At 38.5% G+C, this 21,038-nt stretch overlaps 1 protein-coding gene across 2 annotated transcripts in view; it reads left to right on the forward strand.

Moving 5' to 3' along the window:
• Positions 1 to 20,479, forward strand: part of ZFHX4 (zinc finger homeobox 4) — a 186,035-nt gene extending 165,556 nt beyond the window's left edge. For both annotated transcript variants that reach the window (NM_024721.5, NM_001410934.1), the window contains exons 7-11: positions 2,193 to 2,326; positions 2,710 to 2,910; positions 3,443 to 3,560; positions 4,084 to 9,498; positions 16,292 to 20,479. In NM_024721.5, coding sequence (NP_078997.4) covers positions 2,193 to 2,326; positions 2,710 to 2,910; positions 3,443 to 3,560; positions 4,084 to 9,498; positions 16,292 to 17,763 — 7,340 coding nt within the window. In that variant the 3' untranslated portion in view covers positions 17,764 to 20,479. The remainder of the gene's footprint in view (positions 1 to 2,192; positions 2,327 to 2,709; positions 2,911 to 3,442; positions 3,561 to 4,083; positions 9,499 to 16,291) is intronic.
• Positions 20,480 to 21,038: the final 559 nt, after the last annotated feature.

Consider the following 21,038-nt stretch of genomic DNA (forward strand, 5'->3'; position numbering starts at 1 on the left):
TAGATTTATAAGTTTCTGAAAGATTTATTCTATTACTGATGATCCAAAGGGCCTGCAAGCAACTAAGTCATGGAAATTCTCTTTTAACTTGTGTGTGACAGTCCTTGATGGCACAGGGACCTGGATCGACTTATTGGTCCTGTCCAATTCCATCATGTACGCAAAAGAACGATAAGGGGATATGACAGAGTATTATTCTCCTAAGGAAACATATTCTTACTTATTAGTGGGGGAACATTTAAAGAAACATCTCACAGGAGAAGGCAATTGATAGACATTGGTTGATTTAAATGGCAATGATTTTATACAACTTGGTTTGACACTTTAAGCAGTAAGTTTTATTTGAAAATATAAAATATCATAGTTTTCTTAAATGTTTGTTTTTTAACACTTCTAAAACAATATTCCAAAGTATATTCAGCTTTGAGAAAGAAACATATATTTTTTGATTCCAGACTTAATTATGACAAGGTAATAGGAATTATGACTTTCCTATTTTGACATATCTTTCGATATCAAATACTTGGGCATTTTTAAATCAGTGTAATGAAACTTTCCAGTCTTTCTTGGATTTAAGTTCATTCAAATTCAAATATCATAAATTATTTTTTCAAATATCTAGAAATAACCTAAATTTCTCCGACACATATATATATACATGAAGACAAATGTACCAACTCAAATAAATTCTAGTGCTTGTAAATCTAGAAATCAGTAGTATCAGTATAATCTGATGAAAACTTTGCATTAATTCTGTATCTACCATGAACCCCAAGAGAATAAAATTATTGTCATGATGTAATTTAAATTATATTTTAATTTTGATCTGCATGGAATCACTCTTGCTTTCATATTTCTTTCTGAATTTGAAATTTCTGAAATTACTTATAAGGTATAAAACATGCATCTCTATCCACAGTTGAAATAGAATGTATTTTTTTTGTTTATTTTTACTTTGTTTCCATAACATCCTTGACCTTATTTCTAAATTAAAACTGGGTTATTTTGCAATAAGGTGCAATTTGTTCATTCATATGAACCGTATGTGGATTGAAAAAAAATCAAGATAAATCTTCATGCACAGCATACAATCAGATTACGCCTGGACTATATATTTACGTGGGGTCTGATAGCAATCAATGGTTTAGCTTCATTGCATTTCAAGATGTATTTGCACCCAGTTGTCCAGTGATAGTGTCCTCACCCTGGAAATAATTTAGTTGCAAATTGACTGGAAGATGGTGAAAATTGAAAGTTAAAATTAGAAATACTCATAATAAACAGCAGAAAAAAGGTCAGATGATGCCATGCTATGATGAGATTGGAATGGCTGGTAAATGAGGTTTTGTGTTTGTCATGAGATGTATGTGACATGCCTACCCAATGTCGCTGTAATATCTAGCCTTGCAGAGGAGATTATCGGGCAAATTGATGCTGGAAAGAATTTTCTGTTAGATTGGGAAATTAGAATTGCACTCTTTTCTTTGATGTATATGAGGCTCCTACACATTACACTGCTGGTCTAGGCAAAATCTGAAATCATTTTTAACACCAAATATTTGGATTAACCTCATAAAACCATTGTCTTCTTGAGATTTGTACTAAATGTTATATGTACAGCCAACTGCTGAAATATCTACAGCAAAGAGTAAATCACTAATAGCAGCAGCAGATACATATGATTAATTTTACAATCCTTTCCGTTTTTAAATCCATTCATGACATAAAATTATTATTATTTGAGTTTCTGAATTATAACCAGTCAGCCCTTCTCAGAACGTTGAAATATTTTAAGTGTCAAAGAATTTTAGAAAAGAGATAGGTAATTAAATGTTAGTAGAAATAATGATTTTTTAAGTTAGTATTTGTGAAAGGGAGTAGATTTGCTTTAATGTGGTAAAGGCATTCTGAGACACCAGAGAGCATGTGTTATTGATGAATCTTTCCAGGCCACCTAGGGTTATCTAAACATGAAACAGGAGTACATTTTAAAATATATTTATAAAGTCCACTTAGTCAGTGGACAAAAAGAAGTGTTCTTATTGCCTTTTGAGATTAGCATTATTTAAAATGCTTGTCGGTTCTTTTTGTGATTCAGTGTGTTTAGAGTCGCAAATGTTTGAAAAACATAATTTTTCTCATTTCGGAATTGTGTTTTTAAATTGAATTGTTCTATTCTTTTTGGGAATCAGGGATAATCACACCAGAGAAGGAACTAAAAGTTAGTGTGGCAGGGGGTACCCAGCCACTCCTGCTGGCAAAAGAAGAGGATGTTGCAACAAAAAGGTCAAAACCTACAGAGGACAATAAATTCTGTCATGAACAGGTAAATACTTTTTTTCCCCTTTACTGTGTAAATCTTTATTTTTTATTGCTCCTGATAGTTTTAAAGCCCCAAATGATTCCATGCTGTTGAAATGTATGTAGACATTGCAATTGGCAATGTAACTCTTGGTATTACCTCTAATGTTCTAAAGTCATCAGAATACATTAACTATGTTGAAATAGCTAGAAGAGAAGATTTGGAATGGTCTTAGTACAAGAAATAGTGAATGTCTGAGGTGATGGATATCCCATTTACCCTGATTTGATTATTACACATTGTAAGCATGTACCAAAATATCACACGTACCCCCAAAATACAACTACTATGTATCAAATAAGAAATGCATTAACTAATAGTGGCCATGTTTATTCAATATTTTCCAGTTCTATCAATGTCCTTATTGTAACTACAATAGTAGGGACCAAAGTCGTATCCAGATGCACGTCCTATCACAGCACTCGGTGCAGCCGGTCATCTGCTGTCCTCTCTGTCAGGACGTCCTCAGCAACAAAATGCATCTCCAACTGCATCTGACGCATTTGCACAGTGTGTCTCCAGACTGTGTGGAGAAGCTGCTTATGACAGTAAGGATACCAAATATTGATGCATGTGTGACATAATCTGTGTCAGGAATATCAATATAAAATCTGTAATTATTGGTTTATGGAAATGTATTTCTTCAGAGCTAATTAAAGCTCTGTTATTGCTCGTGTTATAGTAGTCACACTCAAGGCCCATTTGTGACCTCTTTTGCTTGGAAAAAAATATGGTACAAGGCATAGCTTAGTAAAGAACATTATTTTGCAGTCTTCTTTTTATATCTATAATGTTCATCAAATAACCCCAGTGGGCACCTTGCATTTCAAACTTGCTTCATTATCATTATAAAAAAATAAACCTACAGGAACCTTTAAGCCATAATAATAATAATACAACATTGCCACAGCATTGATCTAAAGTGGCAAGGTGTGGCATTGATCTGTAACATCTGCAAAACATCCCTGCTTTGGCTAAAATAAACAAATGTAAGTGGGATATGCTACCAGCAAAAGAGAGATGTGATGGAATTTGTGATTTCTGGGGTACATTTAACATAAACCCCTTTGGTTTCCAAAGGTGCCTGTCCCTGATGTGATGATGCCAAACAGTATGCTACTGCCAGCAGCTGCCTCTGAGAAATCAGAGCGGGACACACCTGCAGCCGTGACAGCTGAGGGGTCTGGGAAATATTCAGGTATGCCATCTTATCATCAAGACTTGTGAACAATACGCTTAGGGGCTTTGCATTTGTGGTGGTGCCCAAAGATTATTACTATCAAAAGATTTTCGTAAAGCATAGGGGAAAAATGTATGCCATTTCAAAGAGCCATATTTTCCAAGGCATATTTTGTGTCTGGTTATCTGTAAGTGACCTCAGGGGACCCAAGTGTCAGACACCCAGGAAAATTCTGTGTGATCTAATTCATGAACACCAAGGGATGGCCCTTAGTATCACACTAATTGCAGCAAGCTCTAATGACCTTTGACTTGCTTTCTTCCCTTTTCTGTAATTTCTTGAGGCCAGCGGTGATTTCTTGTTTGCCTTTATATCCCCAGTACCCAGTCCAGTGCTTGCCACATAGTAGTTGCTCAGTAAACATTTATTCAAACAATTAATTAAGCAGAAGCCTTTAGAGGCTACTATTTATAATATTAATTAATATTTAAGGAGTAGGTTTTCTTATTGTAAGAGAGATGTTTGTGCTTTTTCCTAATAGGTGAAAGTCCAATGGATGACAAAAGCATGGCAGGTCTCGAGGATTCAAAGGCTAATGTGGAAGTAAAGAATGAGGAGCAGAAACCGACTAAAGAACCCTTGGAAGTCTCAGAATGGAATAAAAATAGCAGTAAGGATGTGAAAATCCCCGACACACTGCAAGATCAATTAAATGAACAGCAAAAAAGGCAACCGCTCTCTGTTTCTGACCGTCATGTCTACAAGTATCGCTGTAACCATTGTAGCTTGGCTTTCAAAACTATGCAGAAGCTTCAGATACATTCCCAGTATCATGCAATTCGGGCTGCGACAATGTGTAACCTCTGCCAGCGCAGTTTCCGTACATTCCAGGCTTTAAAAAAACACTTGGAAGCAGGCCACCCTGAACTGAGTGAAGCTGAACTTCAACAGCTATATGCCTCCTTGCCCGTGAATGGAGAACTGTGGGCAGAGAGCGAAACTATGTCCCAGGATGACCATGGCCTAGAGCAGGAAATGGAGAGAGAGTATGAGGTGGACCACGAAGGGAAAGCAAGTCCTGTAGGAAGTGATAGTAGCTCTATTCCAGATGACATGGGCTCTGAACCAAAGCGGACCTTACCTTTTAGAAAAGGGCCCAATTTTACGATGGAAAAATTCCTTGATCCATCTCGTCCATATAAATGTACAGTGTGTAAAGAGTCATTCACCCAAAAGAACATTCTCTTGGTCCACTATAATTCAGTTTCTCACTTGCATAAGCTGAAAAAAGTTTTGCAGGAAGCCTCCAGTCCTGTCCCACAAGAAACCAACAGCAACACAGATAACAAACCCTACAAGTGCAGCATCTGCAATGTTGCATACAGCCAAAGCTCAACATTGGAAATCCACATGAGGTCTGTGCTCCACCAGACAAAGGCTAGGGCTGCAAAGCTGGAGCCCAGTGGTCATGTGGCTGGTGGGCACAGCATTGCAGCAAATGTCAACAGCCCTGGCCAGGGGATGTTAGATTCCATGAGTTTAGCAGCTGTAAACAGCAAAGATACCCATTTAGATGCCAAAGAATTAAATAAAAAGCAAACTCCTGATTTAATCTCTGCTCAACCTGCACATCACCCACCACAGTCACCAGCACAAATTCAGATGCAACTACAGCACGAATTACAACAGCAAGCCGCATTCTTTCAGCCTCAGTTTCTAAACCCAGCCTTTTTGCCTCATTTTCCTATGACCCCAGAAGCACTGCTGCAGTTTCAGCAGCCTCAGTTTCTCTTTCCATTTTATATACCTGGGACGGAGTTCAGCTTGGGGCCAGATTTGGGCTTGCCAGGCTCTGCCACATTTGGGATGCCTGGCATGACAGGAATGGCTGGCTCCTTGCTTGAAGACCTAAAGCAGCAGATTCAAACCCAACATCACGTTGGTCAAACTCAACTCCAGATACTACAGCAACAAGCACAACAATACCAAGCCACACAGCCCCAGCTGCAGCCTCAAAAACAACAGCAGCAGCCACCACCTCCACAGCAGCAGCAGCAACAGCAGGCAAGCAAATTATTGAAACAAGAGCAAAGTAACATAGTGAGTGCAGACTGCCAAATCATGAAGGATGTGCCATCTTATAAGGAGGCAGAAGATATTTCTGAAAAGCCAGAAAAACCAAAGCAGGAATTTATAAGTGAAGGTGAAGGACTCAAAGAAGGCAAAGACACAAAGAAGCAAAAATCCTTGGAACCATCCATCCCACCACCCCGAATAGCTTCAGGGGCCAGAGGAAATGCTGCCAAAGCGTTATTGGAAAACTTTGGTTTTGAACTGGTCATTCAGTATAACGAAAACAGGCAGAAGGTACAGAAGAAGGGCAAAAGTGGTGAAGGCGAAAACACTGACAAACTAGAATGTGGAACATGTGGTAAATTGTTTTCCAATGTTCTTATTTTAAAGAGTCACCAAGAACATGTACATGGGCAATTTTTTCCATATGCAGCGCTAGAAAAATTTGCTCGTCAATACAGGGAGGCCTATGACAAGCTTTATCCAATTTCTCCATCTTCTCCAGAAACGCCGCCCCCGCCACCTCCTCCTCCTCCCTTGCCTCCGGCTCCTCCACAGCCTTCTTCTATGGGTCCTGTAAAGATCCCCAACACGGTTTCTACTCCTCTGCAAGCTCCACCACCCACTCCTCCCCCACCACCACCACCTCCTCCTCCTCCTCCTCCTCCCCCCCCACCTCCTCCACCTTCTGCTCCTCCACAGGTCCAACTGCCGGTTTCTCTGGACCTGCCGCTCTTTCCTTCCATTATGATGCAACCTGTGCAACACCCTGCGCTTCCTCCCCAGCTTGCCCTGCAGCTGCCACAGATGGACGCACTCTCTGCAGACCTCACCCAACTTTGCCAGCAGCAGCTCGGATTAGATCCCAACTTCTTAAGACATTCTCAGTTCAAACGCCCACGGACAAGAATTACAGATGATCAGCTAAAAATCCTGAGGGCTTATTTTGACATTAATAATTCTCCAAGTGAAGAACAGATCCAGGAAATGGCAGAGAAATCTGGCCTCTCCCAAAAAGTTATCAAACACTGGTTTAGAAATACGCTTTTTAAGGAACGACAGAGAAATAAAGATTCACCATACAACTTCAGTAACCCTCCTATAACGGTTTTAGAAGATATCAGAATTGATCCACAGCCCACCTCTTTAGAACATTACAAATCTGATGCATCATTCAGTAAAAGGTCTTCTAGAACGAGATTTACTGACTACCAGCTTAGGGTTCTGCAAGACTTTTTTGACACAAACGCTTACCCAAAAGATGATGAAATAGAACAACTCTCCACTGTTCTCAATCTGCCTACCCGGGTTATTGTTGTATGGTTCCAGAATGCTCGTCAGAAAGCACGAAAGAGTTATGAGAATCAAGCAGAAACAAAAGATAATGAAAAAAGAGAACTCACTAATGAACGGTACATTCGAACAAGCAACATGCAGTACCAGTGTAAAAAGTGCAATGTGGTTTTCCCCAGGATCTTTGACTTGATTACGCATCAGAAAAAGCAGTGTTACAAGGATGAAGATGATGATGCCCAAGATGAAAGCCAAACAGAAGACTCCATGGATGCCACTGATCAAGTGGTATACAAGCATTGCACAGTGTCTGGCCAAACGGATGCAGCTAAAAACGCTGCTGCCCCTGCAGCAAGTTCTGGCTCTGGGACCAGCACCCCCCTGATTCCATCACCCAAACCAGAACCTGAGAAGACTTCTCCAAAACCTGAATATCCCGCAGAAAAGCCAAAGCAGAGTGACCCCTCTCCCCCTTCTCAAGGCACCAAACCAGCCCTGCCATTAGCATCGACTTCCTCGGACCCACCACAGGCATCCACAGCCCAGCCACAGCCACAGCCACAGCCACCAAAACAACCCCAACTTATCGGAAGACCTCCCTCGGCCTCTCAAACACCGGTCCCTTCCAGTCCACTGCAAATTTCCATGACGTCTCTCCAGAACAGTCTACCTCCACAGTTACTACAATACCAATGTGATCAGTGTACAGTTGCCTTCCCAACTCTGGAACTCTGGCAGGAACACCAGCACATGCACTTCCTTGCTGCTCAAAACCAATTCCTTCACTCTCCGTTCTTGGAAAGGCCCATGGACATGCCCTACATGATATTTGACCCCAACAATCCGCTGATGACTGGACAACTGCTGGGCAGTTCCCTCACTCAAATGCCCCCTCAGGCCAGTTCCTCCCACACCACAGCCCCCACAACGGTTGCTGCTTCCCTAAAAAGGAAACTAGACGATAAAGAAGATAATAATTGCAGTGAAAAAGAAGGAGGGAATAGCGGTGAAGACCAACACCGAGATAAACGCTTGAGAACCACGATCACCCCGGAACAGCTGGAAATACTCTATGAAAAATACTTGCTGGATTCCAATCCTACCAGAAAAATGCTTGATCATATTGCCCGCGAAGTCGGGCTGAAAAAAAGGGTCGTGCAAGTCTGGTTCCAGAATACACGAGCGCGGGAGAGGAAAGGCCAGTTCCGGGCGGTGGGTCCAGCACAGTCTCATAAACGGTGTCCGTTTTGCCGAGCCCTGTTTAAAGCAAAGTCGGCCTTAGAAAGCCACATTCGCTCTCGGCACTGGAATGAAGGAAAGCAGGCAGGTTACAGCTTGCCACCAAGCCCTTTAATATCCACCGAAGATGGGGGAGAAAGCCCACAGAAATACATCTATTTTGATTACCCATCTTTGCCATTAACTAAAATTGATCTATCAAGTGAGAATGAATTGGCTTCTACAGTGTCAACACCTGTTAGTAAAACAGCAGAGCTGTCACCGAAGAATCTTTTAAGCCCTTCTTCTTTTAAAGCAGAGTGTTCTGAGGATGTAGAGAATTTAAATGCCCCTCCTGCTGAGGCTGGGTATGATCAAAATAAAACCGATTTTGATGAGACTTCATCGATTAATACGGCAATCAGTGACGCCACCACCGGAGACGAGGGAAACACTGAAATGGAAAGCACCACAGGAAGTTCCGGAGATGTGAAACCGGCTTTGTCTCCCAAAGAGCCAAAAACTCTGGATACTCTGCCAAAACCTGCAACCACACCTACCACGGAGGTCTGCGATGACAAATTTCTCTTTTCTCTCACAAGCCCATCCATCCATTTCAATGACAAAGATGGCGACCACGACCAAAGCTTTTACATCACAGATGACCCGGATGACAACGCCGACCGCAGCGAAACGTCCAGCATAGCGGACCCGAGCTCCCCAAATCCATTCGGATCCAGCAATCCCTTTAAATCCAAAAGTAATGATCGGCCGGGTCACAAGCGTTTTCGAACGCAAATGAGCAATCTTCAACTCAAGGTTCTCAAGGCTTGCTTTAGTGACTACCGAACTCCAACCATGCAAGAATGTGAAATGTTAGGGAATGAGATTGGTCTGCCCAAACGCGTAGTCCAGGTGTGGTTCCAAAATGCAAGGGCAAAGGAAAAGAAATTTAAAATTAACATAGGGAAGCCTTTCATGATCAATCAAGGCGGAACGGAAGGCACCAAACCAGAGTGTACCCTCTGCGGGGTGAAGTACTCTGCCCGCTTGTCCATCAGAGATCACATTTTCTCCAAACAGCACATTTCAAAAGTGAGGGAGACCGTTGGCAGTCAGCTCGATCGGGAGAAAGATTACTTGGCTCCGACCACGGTTCGGCAGCTGATGGCACAGCAAGAACTTGATCGTATAAAGAAAGCTTCAGACGTGCTGGGCTTGACGGTACAGCAGCCAGGCATGATGGACAGCAGTTCTCTCCACGGCATCAGCCTGCCAACAGCCTACCCCGGACTCCCCGGCCTTCCTCCAGTCCTTCTCCCCGGAATGAACGGTCCATCCTCCTTGCCGGGATTTCCACAAAATTCAAACAGTAAGTCATTTAAAGGAGACTCAGTCTAGTTAATTAAGTAGCATCAGGTAGACAGTCACATGTAACCAAGAACGGGGTGCCTTTGGATTTCTTTTAATTTCAGCTAGTGAAATCAATACATTATTTAAAGTATATATTATATTGGCTATAGCTAATTACCAGGAAGTAGGTCAACCTGAAACACACACAGAAAAATAAAGACTAGGTAGATCACAGCAGATTCTCAGATATATATTAATTATTTGTATCATTACAGCTCCATGTCATAGAAATATTTTATTTTTATACTAATTTCAATCTTGATTTCAGATGGCATTCCAGCACTCACATGTGGCTTAGTATTTGGTACACATATTAAGAAAAATGAAACATTAAATAATATATTTATTGGTATCTTAATTTATGTTCTTTCCAAGGGATGGGGTGGTGGTGTTTTTGTTTGTCCCCCCCGCCGCCACCCTGTGACACCCAGAGTTCAAAAGTTGAGTCCTTCAGCCACAGGTATTCACCCACATGGTTCCTAGCAGATTAATAGGACTTATGTTTGAAGTTCAACAACTAAAAATATGACTTCTGTGATAGCACAGAATTTAGCATTGCTATACAATTTTGAGTTTTGTAACATGCATTGCTACTTGTTATTTAAATAAATTCAGCAACCTTAGAAATACATTAATATTACTTCATGCCTTTATTCCCTCACCCCTAGCCCCAGCTAAAGTTTCTACTTAAGGCATAACAAATTTGTAAAGCTGTTTGAGGCAACCTCAGATGCTGAATCTAATTGTGTGTTCATCAAAAGATATGCAGTTTGCACAGTTTAGATTTTGTGAATAAGTATAGGTATTCAATTATATTATGTTAAAGAAATGGAATATAACGTGCTAGCCAATCATGTAGCCAAAAATATAACGAAAGTTATATATCACCCAAAATAGGAAAACATGGTTCTTTTATAATTTAAGTAAGTTTTGTTTTCTAAATTATCAATGATTTTTTTCTTTTTAAAAGGAAAATTTAACATGTTAAAGGGACATCTAGAATTCACTAATTTTATATATATATATATATATATATATATCTACATTTACAAAAAATAAGGAAAGCTTTTTTCATTTTTACAAGTTGAATTTTTACATGAATTTCAAACTTTTCAATTCCATGATTTTCTTACAAAAAAACAAAATTGCCACTGTGATCTTAAGTTATTCCTATTTTAACTTTTAGTTTGGGAGGTGTGAAAACAATGACATCCTATGGCCCCTCAGCCACCGCTAGCTTACCTGGTTTTCTGTTCTGAGTCAGCTGGTTTTTGAGAGAAGCAGAATGGAACTATACATATAAAGAATGTCACCAAGAAAATGTCTGCCATGTCCCTTCCTTGAACTGTCATACCAACTTCCCTCACCCCAAAGGTACTTTGGGCTTCATTATCTAGACAATTTTGGAGTCTTAAATATTAGAGCTATAATTAAGTGTTTTGGTTGTACATTTTATTTAAGTAAAATACAAGTGTTTGAAGAATAATGCAATGACAGATTTTTTTTTTTTTTTGCATATGGTATGAGTCTTGTTATTTTCTGGTCCCATTTTATATACCACTGATTATTGACTCAGAAAAATATCTTATATGGAAAGATTTCTGTGATCAGTTAAGTAAAATAGAAGAGTTTTGATATCTTTACATGGGCTGAAAACAGTTGAAATATCTGTACCTTTAATCTACAAGTCTACTTTGATTGATGATGACTGTGTTGTCATCCCAATAAGTGGTGGTCAAAGCATCTTGTTTTTTCTCCACTGAGTCTGAAGGCCTTTGTTCGGACAGTGGTCCTTCTGCCAACTGCTCTTTGGTCAGTCATTCTGATATGGGCGCCCAGAGGGCCTAGGTGAAAGAAAGTGAGAAAGGAGGAAAAGAGATGTTTATGAAATATTTAAATAGACTAATATTTTCCTCATTCTATTCACCATAAATTATATCCTCTCCCAAAAATACAGGCCCTATTTGTAATAGCATTAGTGAGAAGATGTTGGAGGCAGTCACACCACGGATAGGAGTATCTTTAAACACACAAGGTACCCAGGAACTCAAATCTGTTATATCTGCTGCTTTATTAAATCGTGGACTGAAACAGACTGGGGAGTGTTATAAAGAGAAAAGCTCCATGAACATTGCTACCTACTGAAATTTTCAATTTCTCTCAACTTAGTCCTTTGTGAGAGATTTTAAACATTAACACAGCAGAATTACCAGTGGGGCCCCACCTGAGCGCCTGAGTTCCTGCACTTTCAGTTCATGTCTTTATTAGGTTAATTTACTTATGGTGGGTAGTGCTGACTATTTCAACCAGCTCAGTAGAGCTGTGGTTCTCTATTTTCCCATGATCATTTTCTACTGTATTATCTGTCACCAAACAATTATCTTCTTTGCTTAATGGGAGAGATAAACATACCAGTTAAGGCAAAATCAAAAGAACATTATAAGTAAAATATTTCTGCGTTTCTTACAAGCCCTGGGCCGTTGCTACAATTTGTTATCAATATGAACATCTTTGAGAATATGACAAGTTCCCCTTGGCTCCTTTTTAATAAGATTTAGTTATGGAAAAGCCTTCATTTTAAGGATGTCCCATCCCTTTGAAAGTAGGTTCCAAGATTTTGATTAGAAGGAAATCACTAAAAATCGCTTCAGTGAATGTAAGATGAACATAAGAGTTTACTCAAAGGCTACGCCCCAAAATTAGCTTAATTGCAGTGTAAAAATGTTCGGTTTTAGTATTTATCAACTTCTGAATTTCCTGATTTAAACATACACTTTATTTTATTTTGGGAGGTAGAATTGTTTTTCTGGTTGGATATCGGTTTTAATGCTCACAAAACTTTCTTATCTTCCAAGAAATCTGCAAATTTTTTATTCCTTCAAAATTACTAAGAAGGCCCTTTCAAGGGTAATATTCATCATGTATGCCTGCTTCCTAAACAGTGGCCAGCCCTGTGTTCAGTATCACTACCTACTATTGCTTTGCTCACTTTTTAATAGGATGAATTATTTTTTTCTTTAATTTTTGTTCACATCCTAGTTTTTGTATCATGATCATACATAAAAAAGGGAAAATGGCCATAGAATATCAACGTATGTTTATATACCTGGAAAAATTAGAAAACTTTAAATTTATATTTTATCCTTTAGAGTGTTAGCTGGCTTTGGGATTACACTCAAAGTGAATAAAAAAATTATTTGCTTTTCTATTTTTAACTTATTTACTTTATCATTTTAAGCAGTGTCTGATTTTAAATGTTCCATTAGTGTTTGGAAATACTGCCTAAGCTGATTTCCTTAAATGGAACTTTAGAACATGCCTTTTGCATTTTTCTCATACTTTAATGTAATTTACTAGCACATTTGGGGTAAATGTAGATAAGAGTAAGTCCTTAATAATTTTAGCACAATTGTCTTTGGCCCCATGTACATAATTATTTTCATTTCCAACCTCAAATATAAACTTGAGGGACCTCAGTCAAAGAAACTTGGAGAAAATGAACTACATATGAGTGCGTTAAGAAGCAGGCATTTTCTTCTGAAAGTATTACTATCAGGACAAGGTAGCTATTTCAGAGAAAGAAAACCCAACAAAATGATGGTAGTATGAGATTATTTACAGAAACATTTTTAATTCTATGTGAAATTTCTGAGAACTGCAGTAGGAGTTGGGAAATGGGAAAGAATGTATATTTAACAGTATAACTAGATAAAAGATAAAATTTGACACGCATTTAATTGTAAATTACCACCACTTACTCTACATCTCTATTGCTGTTCAGCTTTTCTCCTCTATTTCTGGTTTTCTGGCTACTGATATTTTTACTGCAAATTTTTATAGGCTTATTTATCTTACTAGTAAGCCAAATGCACATAGCTTATTATTCTTAATCTACATCTCTTTTCCCAAAATTTTTAGAGTAGCTCATTATTTAACTCAGCTTTTTGCCTCAAGATGTTGAATTTTTTTCAAAATTCCTGATAATCTTTGATCTAGGATTATTTGGGATTCCTATTGCAGTCTTCTAAAAATCTTTATTACTTCATTATGTAACCCTAGATAAAAACATGTAGACCCTTCATGATGGGAAAACCTAAGTCAACAACTATTGCTCCATCTTGCTTTCTAACCACAATTGCTATTTTTTCATGTCTCCATTCCTTAAAATTTATCTTGTCTTAAATTTTCATGTCGGAGACAGGTAAGCCAGTAATTTCCTCAGATTTAGGGGGGAAATTAGGTGAAAGAGGGTAAAATTATTTATGAGGAAGTTGTACTGTTATGAGATCTAGAACTAAGGTTGGTTTTGTGAGTAGGCAAAGGAAGCTGGCTACCAATGTAATATTTTAGCAATGCAAGTAAAGCCTCCTCCACCTGAATCACTCAGGCCTGAAATTTTATAATTAGATACTAATTCCTTTAACTGTCGAATGGAAAATAGTGTATACTGTGGTGAAATCAGAATATCATAGCAGGAAGAAACCTAAAAAATTATTGAATCTGGTATATATTGAACCTTTTTCGTACTACTTTATTCATTTCTTCAGTTCTTTCTTGCCAATAAATTTTTATAAACAGGCAAGTGGAAACGCAATCCCAGACATAGAACTGTAGGAATAAAGGCAAGGGAGTTATGCTTGTGGGCCCCCAAAGGCATATCTATTACTTCACAGTTTTCCCTAGGGCTAGGTCTAAGTCCCAGGAATCTAGACATCTATTACTAAAATTGGATTAAAGATCAGAGAGTTTATTCATTCATTCCTATCATATACCAGTAATGCTTGGGCCATCTTTATTTAAATTTATTTTTAATGTGTGAGCCATTCTTCAGTAAAATGTGTGTACTTGCTGTCAGTTTTTTTCTGGAAATATAACATTATTTTCCAGGATTTTCTTTTCTTTTTGCATCTTAAATATTTGAATTATTTAACCCCTGAAATTGATTCAGTTAAACCAGAAGATAAATTGGAGTGACAGCTGTAAAATTTAGTCTCCTCTAGCTCATCTGCCATTGAGTCATAACACTCCTAGGACTCGGTTTCCTTATTTAAAAATGGAATGTTTAGCAGCAGTTCCCCATTGCCATTAAGGATGTTGGGAGATTGTTTTCTAACATCATGTAAACTCCTTAGAGTCTATCACTATTAAAACTGTAGAAGTTATATCAAAGTAGGTCAGAGAAGAGTTGAGTGTAGCAAAGTTAAAAAGAGGAGCAGCCAATAATACCCTAAGTTAATTGAGGGTAATGTGATAAGGATAAGGGTCAAGGAAGGAGTGATGTTGACTTCACAGTATCTTGAATGCTAAGCTTTCTCGGTTGGGTAAAGATCAATTAAGAAACTATGGAGGTTTTTTATTTTTATTTTTTATTTTTTTATTATTTCTTAGCTAAAGAAAAAGAAGCATACAGTTTTTCTGTCTCTCCTTTTTTTTTTAACACTCACATGTTGCATTTAGCATGGAGGTAAGACTATGACCAATATTAACAAGATGGCTCTATGAAGTCTCATGATCATTCCCTCTAGAGCTATGCATTGATAATTAAACTTTATTCACCTTCTCCTGGTTAATTCTTCCTTCCGCCCACCAGACCTCCATCACAGTCCTTGTCATGATCATTTGGTAGTGAGCCTTCCCTTGTTCAAGAATGAATTACTGTCAGCCAGCCATTAGACTTCTGGTCTGTTCCTTTTGCAGTCAACTTTACTTGCCTCTAAAAACATCTTCAAAAAAGGCACAGGCTTTTACAAGTCCCTTTTCTATCCTGAGCTGTCCTTCAGTTTCCCAGCCAACTATCTAGCTCATAAAAATGGCTGTGTAATAGGTTATTATCAGCCACTACATTATACTGGGTACTTGAAACAAAGCAAAGATCTTTTACATTCCTCTAGGAGTTATGCTGTACCCACAGGTTTCTGCCTACTGATCATTTAGTTTCCCATCTCTAATGAGGTGAGAATCATGTTTGCGTACTACAAGCAAACCTGGAAGAAGCATGTTTTGGGGGTGGTAAAGTTGACTGTTAATATATGCAGTTCCTGTCAAGTACCCTGTTAGGCAAGTTGTCAGGATGGTAACAAACAACTTAACCTACACTCCTAAAAATGAAATCCTGGCTAACCTTGTTCAGTCCTAGTAATGAATGGCTCTGACTTCGCTGCTGTTTGTTTTTTGGTGTCTTCAGTGGTCATTTACTATTGCTATTTAATTAGCTTATCACCTTCTTTGTTCAATGTAAGTGTATTTTTCTGCTGGAACATAGGCAGATGGATTTCATTGTATTTGATAGCTAATTACTTTTAGTGAACGTGGTAATTATCAAACTGCTCAAGTGAAGGACGGAGAGAGTCTGCCTTCCCAGAGGTATAGTAAAAATTGCTTAAAATAAATAACAGAATAGGGATCTTGCAAGGTGTATCAATTGGAAGGAACCACTATAGTTCACGATGATGTTTTTTGTTATTCATCTTTCATAGCATGAGAGCCTGTTTTCTGAGTAAAATGTTGCTAAAATATGCAGCTTACATTCTTAGAGTTATTGGTGGGGGTTAAAACTAATATAAGAAATATTATAAACACAGGAAAGCCCCATGTTGAAGTTCTAGGTGGTGATCATGAATTTCCTATTGTGTGTAATACATCTTTTCTGATATAGCAATGTCCTTAGTGAGTTCTATTTAGGTGTTAAGCATACAGCCTTCCGATGTTGGTCTGTACATTGACAGTGGCCATCTCTCTGTTGTTGTTTTCAGCTTTAACACCTCCCGGTGCAGGCATGCTTGGGTTTCCTACTTCAGCTACTTCGTCTCCTGCCCTGTCTCTCAGCAGTGCCCCCACCAAACCTTTGCTGCAGACTCCACCACCTCCACCACCTCCTCCTCCTCCTCCTCCTTCATCCTCTCTGTCAGGACAGCAGACCGAGCAACAGAACAAAGAATCTGAGAAAAAGCAAACTAAGCCAAACAAGGTGAAAAAAATCAAAGAGGAGGAATTAGAGGCCACCAAACCCGAAAAACACCCCAAAAAAGAGGAAAAAATCTCATCTGCTCTTTCAGTGTTGGGCAAAGTTGTAGGTGAAACACATGTCGATCCTATTCAGTTGCAGGCATTACAGAATGCAATTGCTGGTGACCCAGCTTCCTTTATAGGCGGACAGTTCTTGCCATACTTTATCCCTGGGTTTGCTTCTTATTTTACACCTCAGCTCCCTGGAACAGTGCAGGGGGGATACTTCCCACCTGTCTGTGGCATGGAGAGCCTCTTTCCTTATGGCCCTACAATGCCCCAGACACTGGCAGGTCTGTCCCCAGGTGCACTGTTGCAGCAGTACCAACAGTATCAGCAGAACCTGCAGGAGTCCCTGCAAAAGCAGCAAAAGCAACAGCAAGAACAGCAGCAGAAACCAGTTCAGGCAAAGACATCCAAAGTAGAAAGTGACCAGCCGCAAAACTCCAACGATGCTTCAGAAACAAAGGAAGACAAAAGTACTGCTACAGAAAGCACAAAAGAAGAACCCCAGTTAGAATCCAAAAGTGCAGACTTTTCAGACACTTACGTTGTTCCATTCGTCAAGTATGAGTTTATATGCAGAAAGTGCCAGATGATGTTTACTGATGAAGACGCCGCAGTAAATCATCAAAAGTCCTTCTGTTATTTCGGTCAGCCTTTGATTGACCCACAAGAGACAGTGCTTCGTGTCCCAGTCAGCAAATATCAGTGTCTTGCCTGTGATGTGGCTATCAGTGGGAATGAAGCACTTAGCCAACACCTCCAGTCAAGCTTGCACAAAGAGAAAACAATCAAACAAGCAATGAGAAATGCCAAAGAGCATGTTAGATTATTACCTCACTCAGTCTGCTCCCCTAATCCTAACACCACATCTACCTCGCAGTCTGCAGCTTCTTCTAATAACACCTATCCTCATCTTTCTTGCTTCTCCATGAAGTCCTGGCCTAATATCCTTTTCCAAGCGTCTGCCAGGAGAGCTGCTTCTCCCCCTTCTTCTCCTCCTTCCCTTTCCTTGCCTTCAACGGTTACCTCAAGTTTGTGCAGCACCTCAGGGGTTCAAACCTCACTACCCACAGAAAGTTGTTCAGATGAGTCTGACAGTGAGCTGAGCCAGAAGCTAGAAGACTTAGATAATTCTTTGGAAGTGAAGGCTAAGCCTGCTTCTGGCCTAGATGGTAATTTCAATAGCATCCGAATGGATATGTTCAGTGTGTAGGAGTGAAGACAGGATCCCGTGCTTAAAAAAATAAAAAATAAAAAAATAAAAAAAAAATAAGACTTTAACTGCAGTTCCAAAGCTTCTCTAACCCAAAAATTACAGTACCAAATGATTGACTCAGGATTGTTTTTCCCATATTGATATGCTGGCAATATAGGATGGTATGTAATGGACAGAACTGATGCAGATGGTTGAATGCGCTTGTACTATATGCTAAAATATGGAAAAGGAAAAAAAAATCTCACAAGTTCTTTTGGAACTTGTTTCAAGCCAAAAACTCTCAAGAAAGCAAATTGCACCTCAGCTGGATTGATTTCCAAATGCTAGCATGTACTGTATGGGAGGATGATCCAGATGTTTCAAAGAGAATTTCTCTTAGTTTAGTTAGGTGTAATTCAGTAGCTTTAAATTCTCAGGTCAGAACATAACATTTCTCATTTGTTAAAAGCAGCAAGAAGCCTGGTAAAACTGTGACTTTTCCCCAAACGTCAATCTTTATTAGAAAGCATTTTCTAGGTGTGTTTAGTGTACAAAGAGACTTTATAACCCTTACTGGACAACACACAGATCCTTGAGCTCACGCTGCAGGATAGTACAGTTTTACCGCAGAGGGAATCTGGAACAGTGGAATCATGTGTCTGCCCTGTGTATTGCAGTTTGTATTGCCACAAGCTATATTTATACCAGTGTCACCCTTTTCTTGTAGAATATACTAATAATCTGTGCCAACTCTACCTTCTCACTTTTACCTCTGACGTCATTCTTTTTTTCTGAAAGAGGTAATAATTCTAGTTTTGATAGACTCTGAGGATTATGTGAACAGGACATTTTTCATTTGTGAATTTAATGCTATACTGTCAAGGTACTTGCTTGTGTCTGAACTCTAGTGCACTTATGATTTTGTAGACCATGTGAAATTTAATAAGATACCTTTTTTTTCCTTTCTTTGTGTGTAGTGCAGCAACAGTTTGGTCTGCATTTGTTAGAAGTTTAACTCCTAACAACCCAAAGACCTATTTAACAATTGGTGCATAAATGAAAGTAGTACTGTATACTTGAAACTGTTTAAGTACAAGTTGAACAAAAATTATGAAAAGGTATATTTGCTTCTCGGGAAAGCAAAGAAGCTGCTTTAAAAAATAAAAAGGGGACTAAAAATTTGTTTTGTATAAAGAGGTTAGCCCTGCGCACGTAGGACTGAATTCAGTGATATCCCTATACACTGCCATTTAGTGGATAGGTTATTGTACTTCCATTCATACTCTGGGCACTTGTGTTGTATTGTTCTGTTACATACTTTTTTTAACCTGTTTTGTTTTATCATATATGCATTAAAAGTATTATCTTTATCAACATTTGCTGCTACTGTGTTAACATTTTTGTTTTGCTTGCCATGAATTTCAACTTCCACCACCCAGTGAATTGATTTATAAATTGCTATGCTTTGCTGTTTTTCTGTTGCTGTGGAACTTAAAGAATGTGAAAGCTGTCAAAGGGTATTTTACGAATCACTTTTGTGTTTGATATAGTAAAACAATGTGATTCATTCCAAAGTAACAGAAGGTTATTTGTAAGAAAGTTAAAGGCTTGTGAACAAAGAAAGCTAAGCTGTTGTACATATTTGTAGTTGGCTGTGCATGGTACAAATTTATTAATATGAAGAAATGCAAAATGTATTGCTTTTGATATTTCTCTTCCGAGATGAACAAGTAGCATGTAATGCAACTGTTTGACAGTTTAACTCAAGTCATGCTTCAAACTGTTTTAATGATCAAATCAAGACACATTTCATTTTACATTTTATTATTGTACAGTTTTTGTTTCGGATGATGATCACAGCAATCTTTATTCTATACATTTTATGTGAACTTTTTTAATGTCTTTAATTTGGATTTTTTTTTTTTTTAGTATTTTAACATTTATTTTAATCCTGAAGACACTTTTTTGATTGTGTTTCGTAAGAGACAACATGGCCTCCTAAGGTGCAATCCTGCCGCTATAGTGAGCTAATGTCCTGAATCCAAAGGCTTCAGAAAATTGCTTTTGCCTTTTTCATGAATGTTAAGCAGCAGCATTGTGAGATCGATCTGTCCTGGCAGTTAACACGATGTGCAACAGTGTGTTAGCATGGAACAGAACGCTTTTCACAAAACAAAGGACTGTTTTACAAATGATTATTCCGACAGTGTGTCGACATAAACTTTTACAACTGCACAGCAGCCAAAAAAAGAAAAAAAAAAGAAAAAAAACTTTAACTGGATGGACGTTGTTAGGGTGAGAAATAAAAGGACAGCCTCCAAAGGTTGAGAATGAGAATTGTTTTTTCCTGGATATCAAAGGGATTATCACAGCGCAATCATTGTCTACACAACATGTACTCTCAACGCCTGGGTTACATAGGAAATGCACCCTGAGGTTTTAATAAAAGCCCCTATGGCTATAACTTTAAATAAACTAAACCAAAAATGTTATTGATGTTTTATATATAGAGAGTAGTCTCATTAGTTTTTGTTACTGTAATGTTTGAAGTCTCAAATGCACCGTATTACGGTAAATAACATGGTTTTGAAAACTTTTTTTTATTTTGTCACAGACCTGTTGTCATAGTTGAAATGATGTTTATTGTAGATGGTATTTGAACTTATTCTTCTGGAAATAGTTCATCAAGTATGTTTGTTGCTCATTGTGATACATTAAAAACTGTATCTACATATTTACTATGTGTTTTCTTTCTGAGTTGACTTTGCAATATTTGCACAAGGTATTAATTTCCCCCACCTGAAGGTGACTTAAGGGAGGCCACTTGAATTACCAGATTGCTCTAACAGGAGTCTGTGTTAAGCAGCCACTAAGCAATCCAGAAAAATAGACACATGGATTATTAAAAGTTAAATAACGGCATTATTGTCAACACATTTTAATGGCACAAAAATGTTAGCATGTCACATAAATAATTGTGATTTTTTTTAGGCCAATTCTATATCCTTTAACAGGCAAACTCATGCTTCTCAGTAGCACTCTTTATGCCTACAATGGGTATCCACACTTTAATGTTCCATATGCTGCATGCCCTGTTAGATTTTAAAATCTGGCAAACAGATTTTGACAAATGGAATAATTTCATTTCAGAGTTCATTAACTTATTACTTTTAGTATTACTGCTAGAATTTCAACACCTGTATGTTGCTTTTGGATATAGACCAGACACTTTTTCATTTATACTGAATGCAAACATTCCCTCTCACAAAGCTCACTTCATCTGCGAGTCAGCT

This window comes from Homo sapiens, chromosome 8, assembly GCF_000001405.40.
Source record: "Homo sapiens chromosome 8, GRCh38.p14 Primary Assembly".
In the NCBI taxonomy this organism is placed as follows: Eukaryota; Metazoa; Chordata; class Mammalia; order Primates; family Hominidae; genus Homo; species Homo sapiens.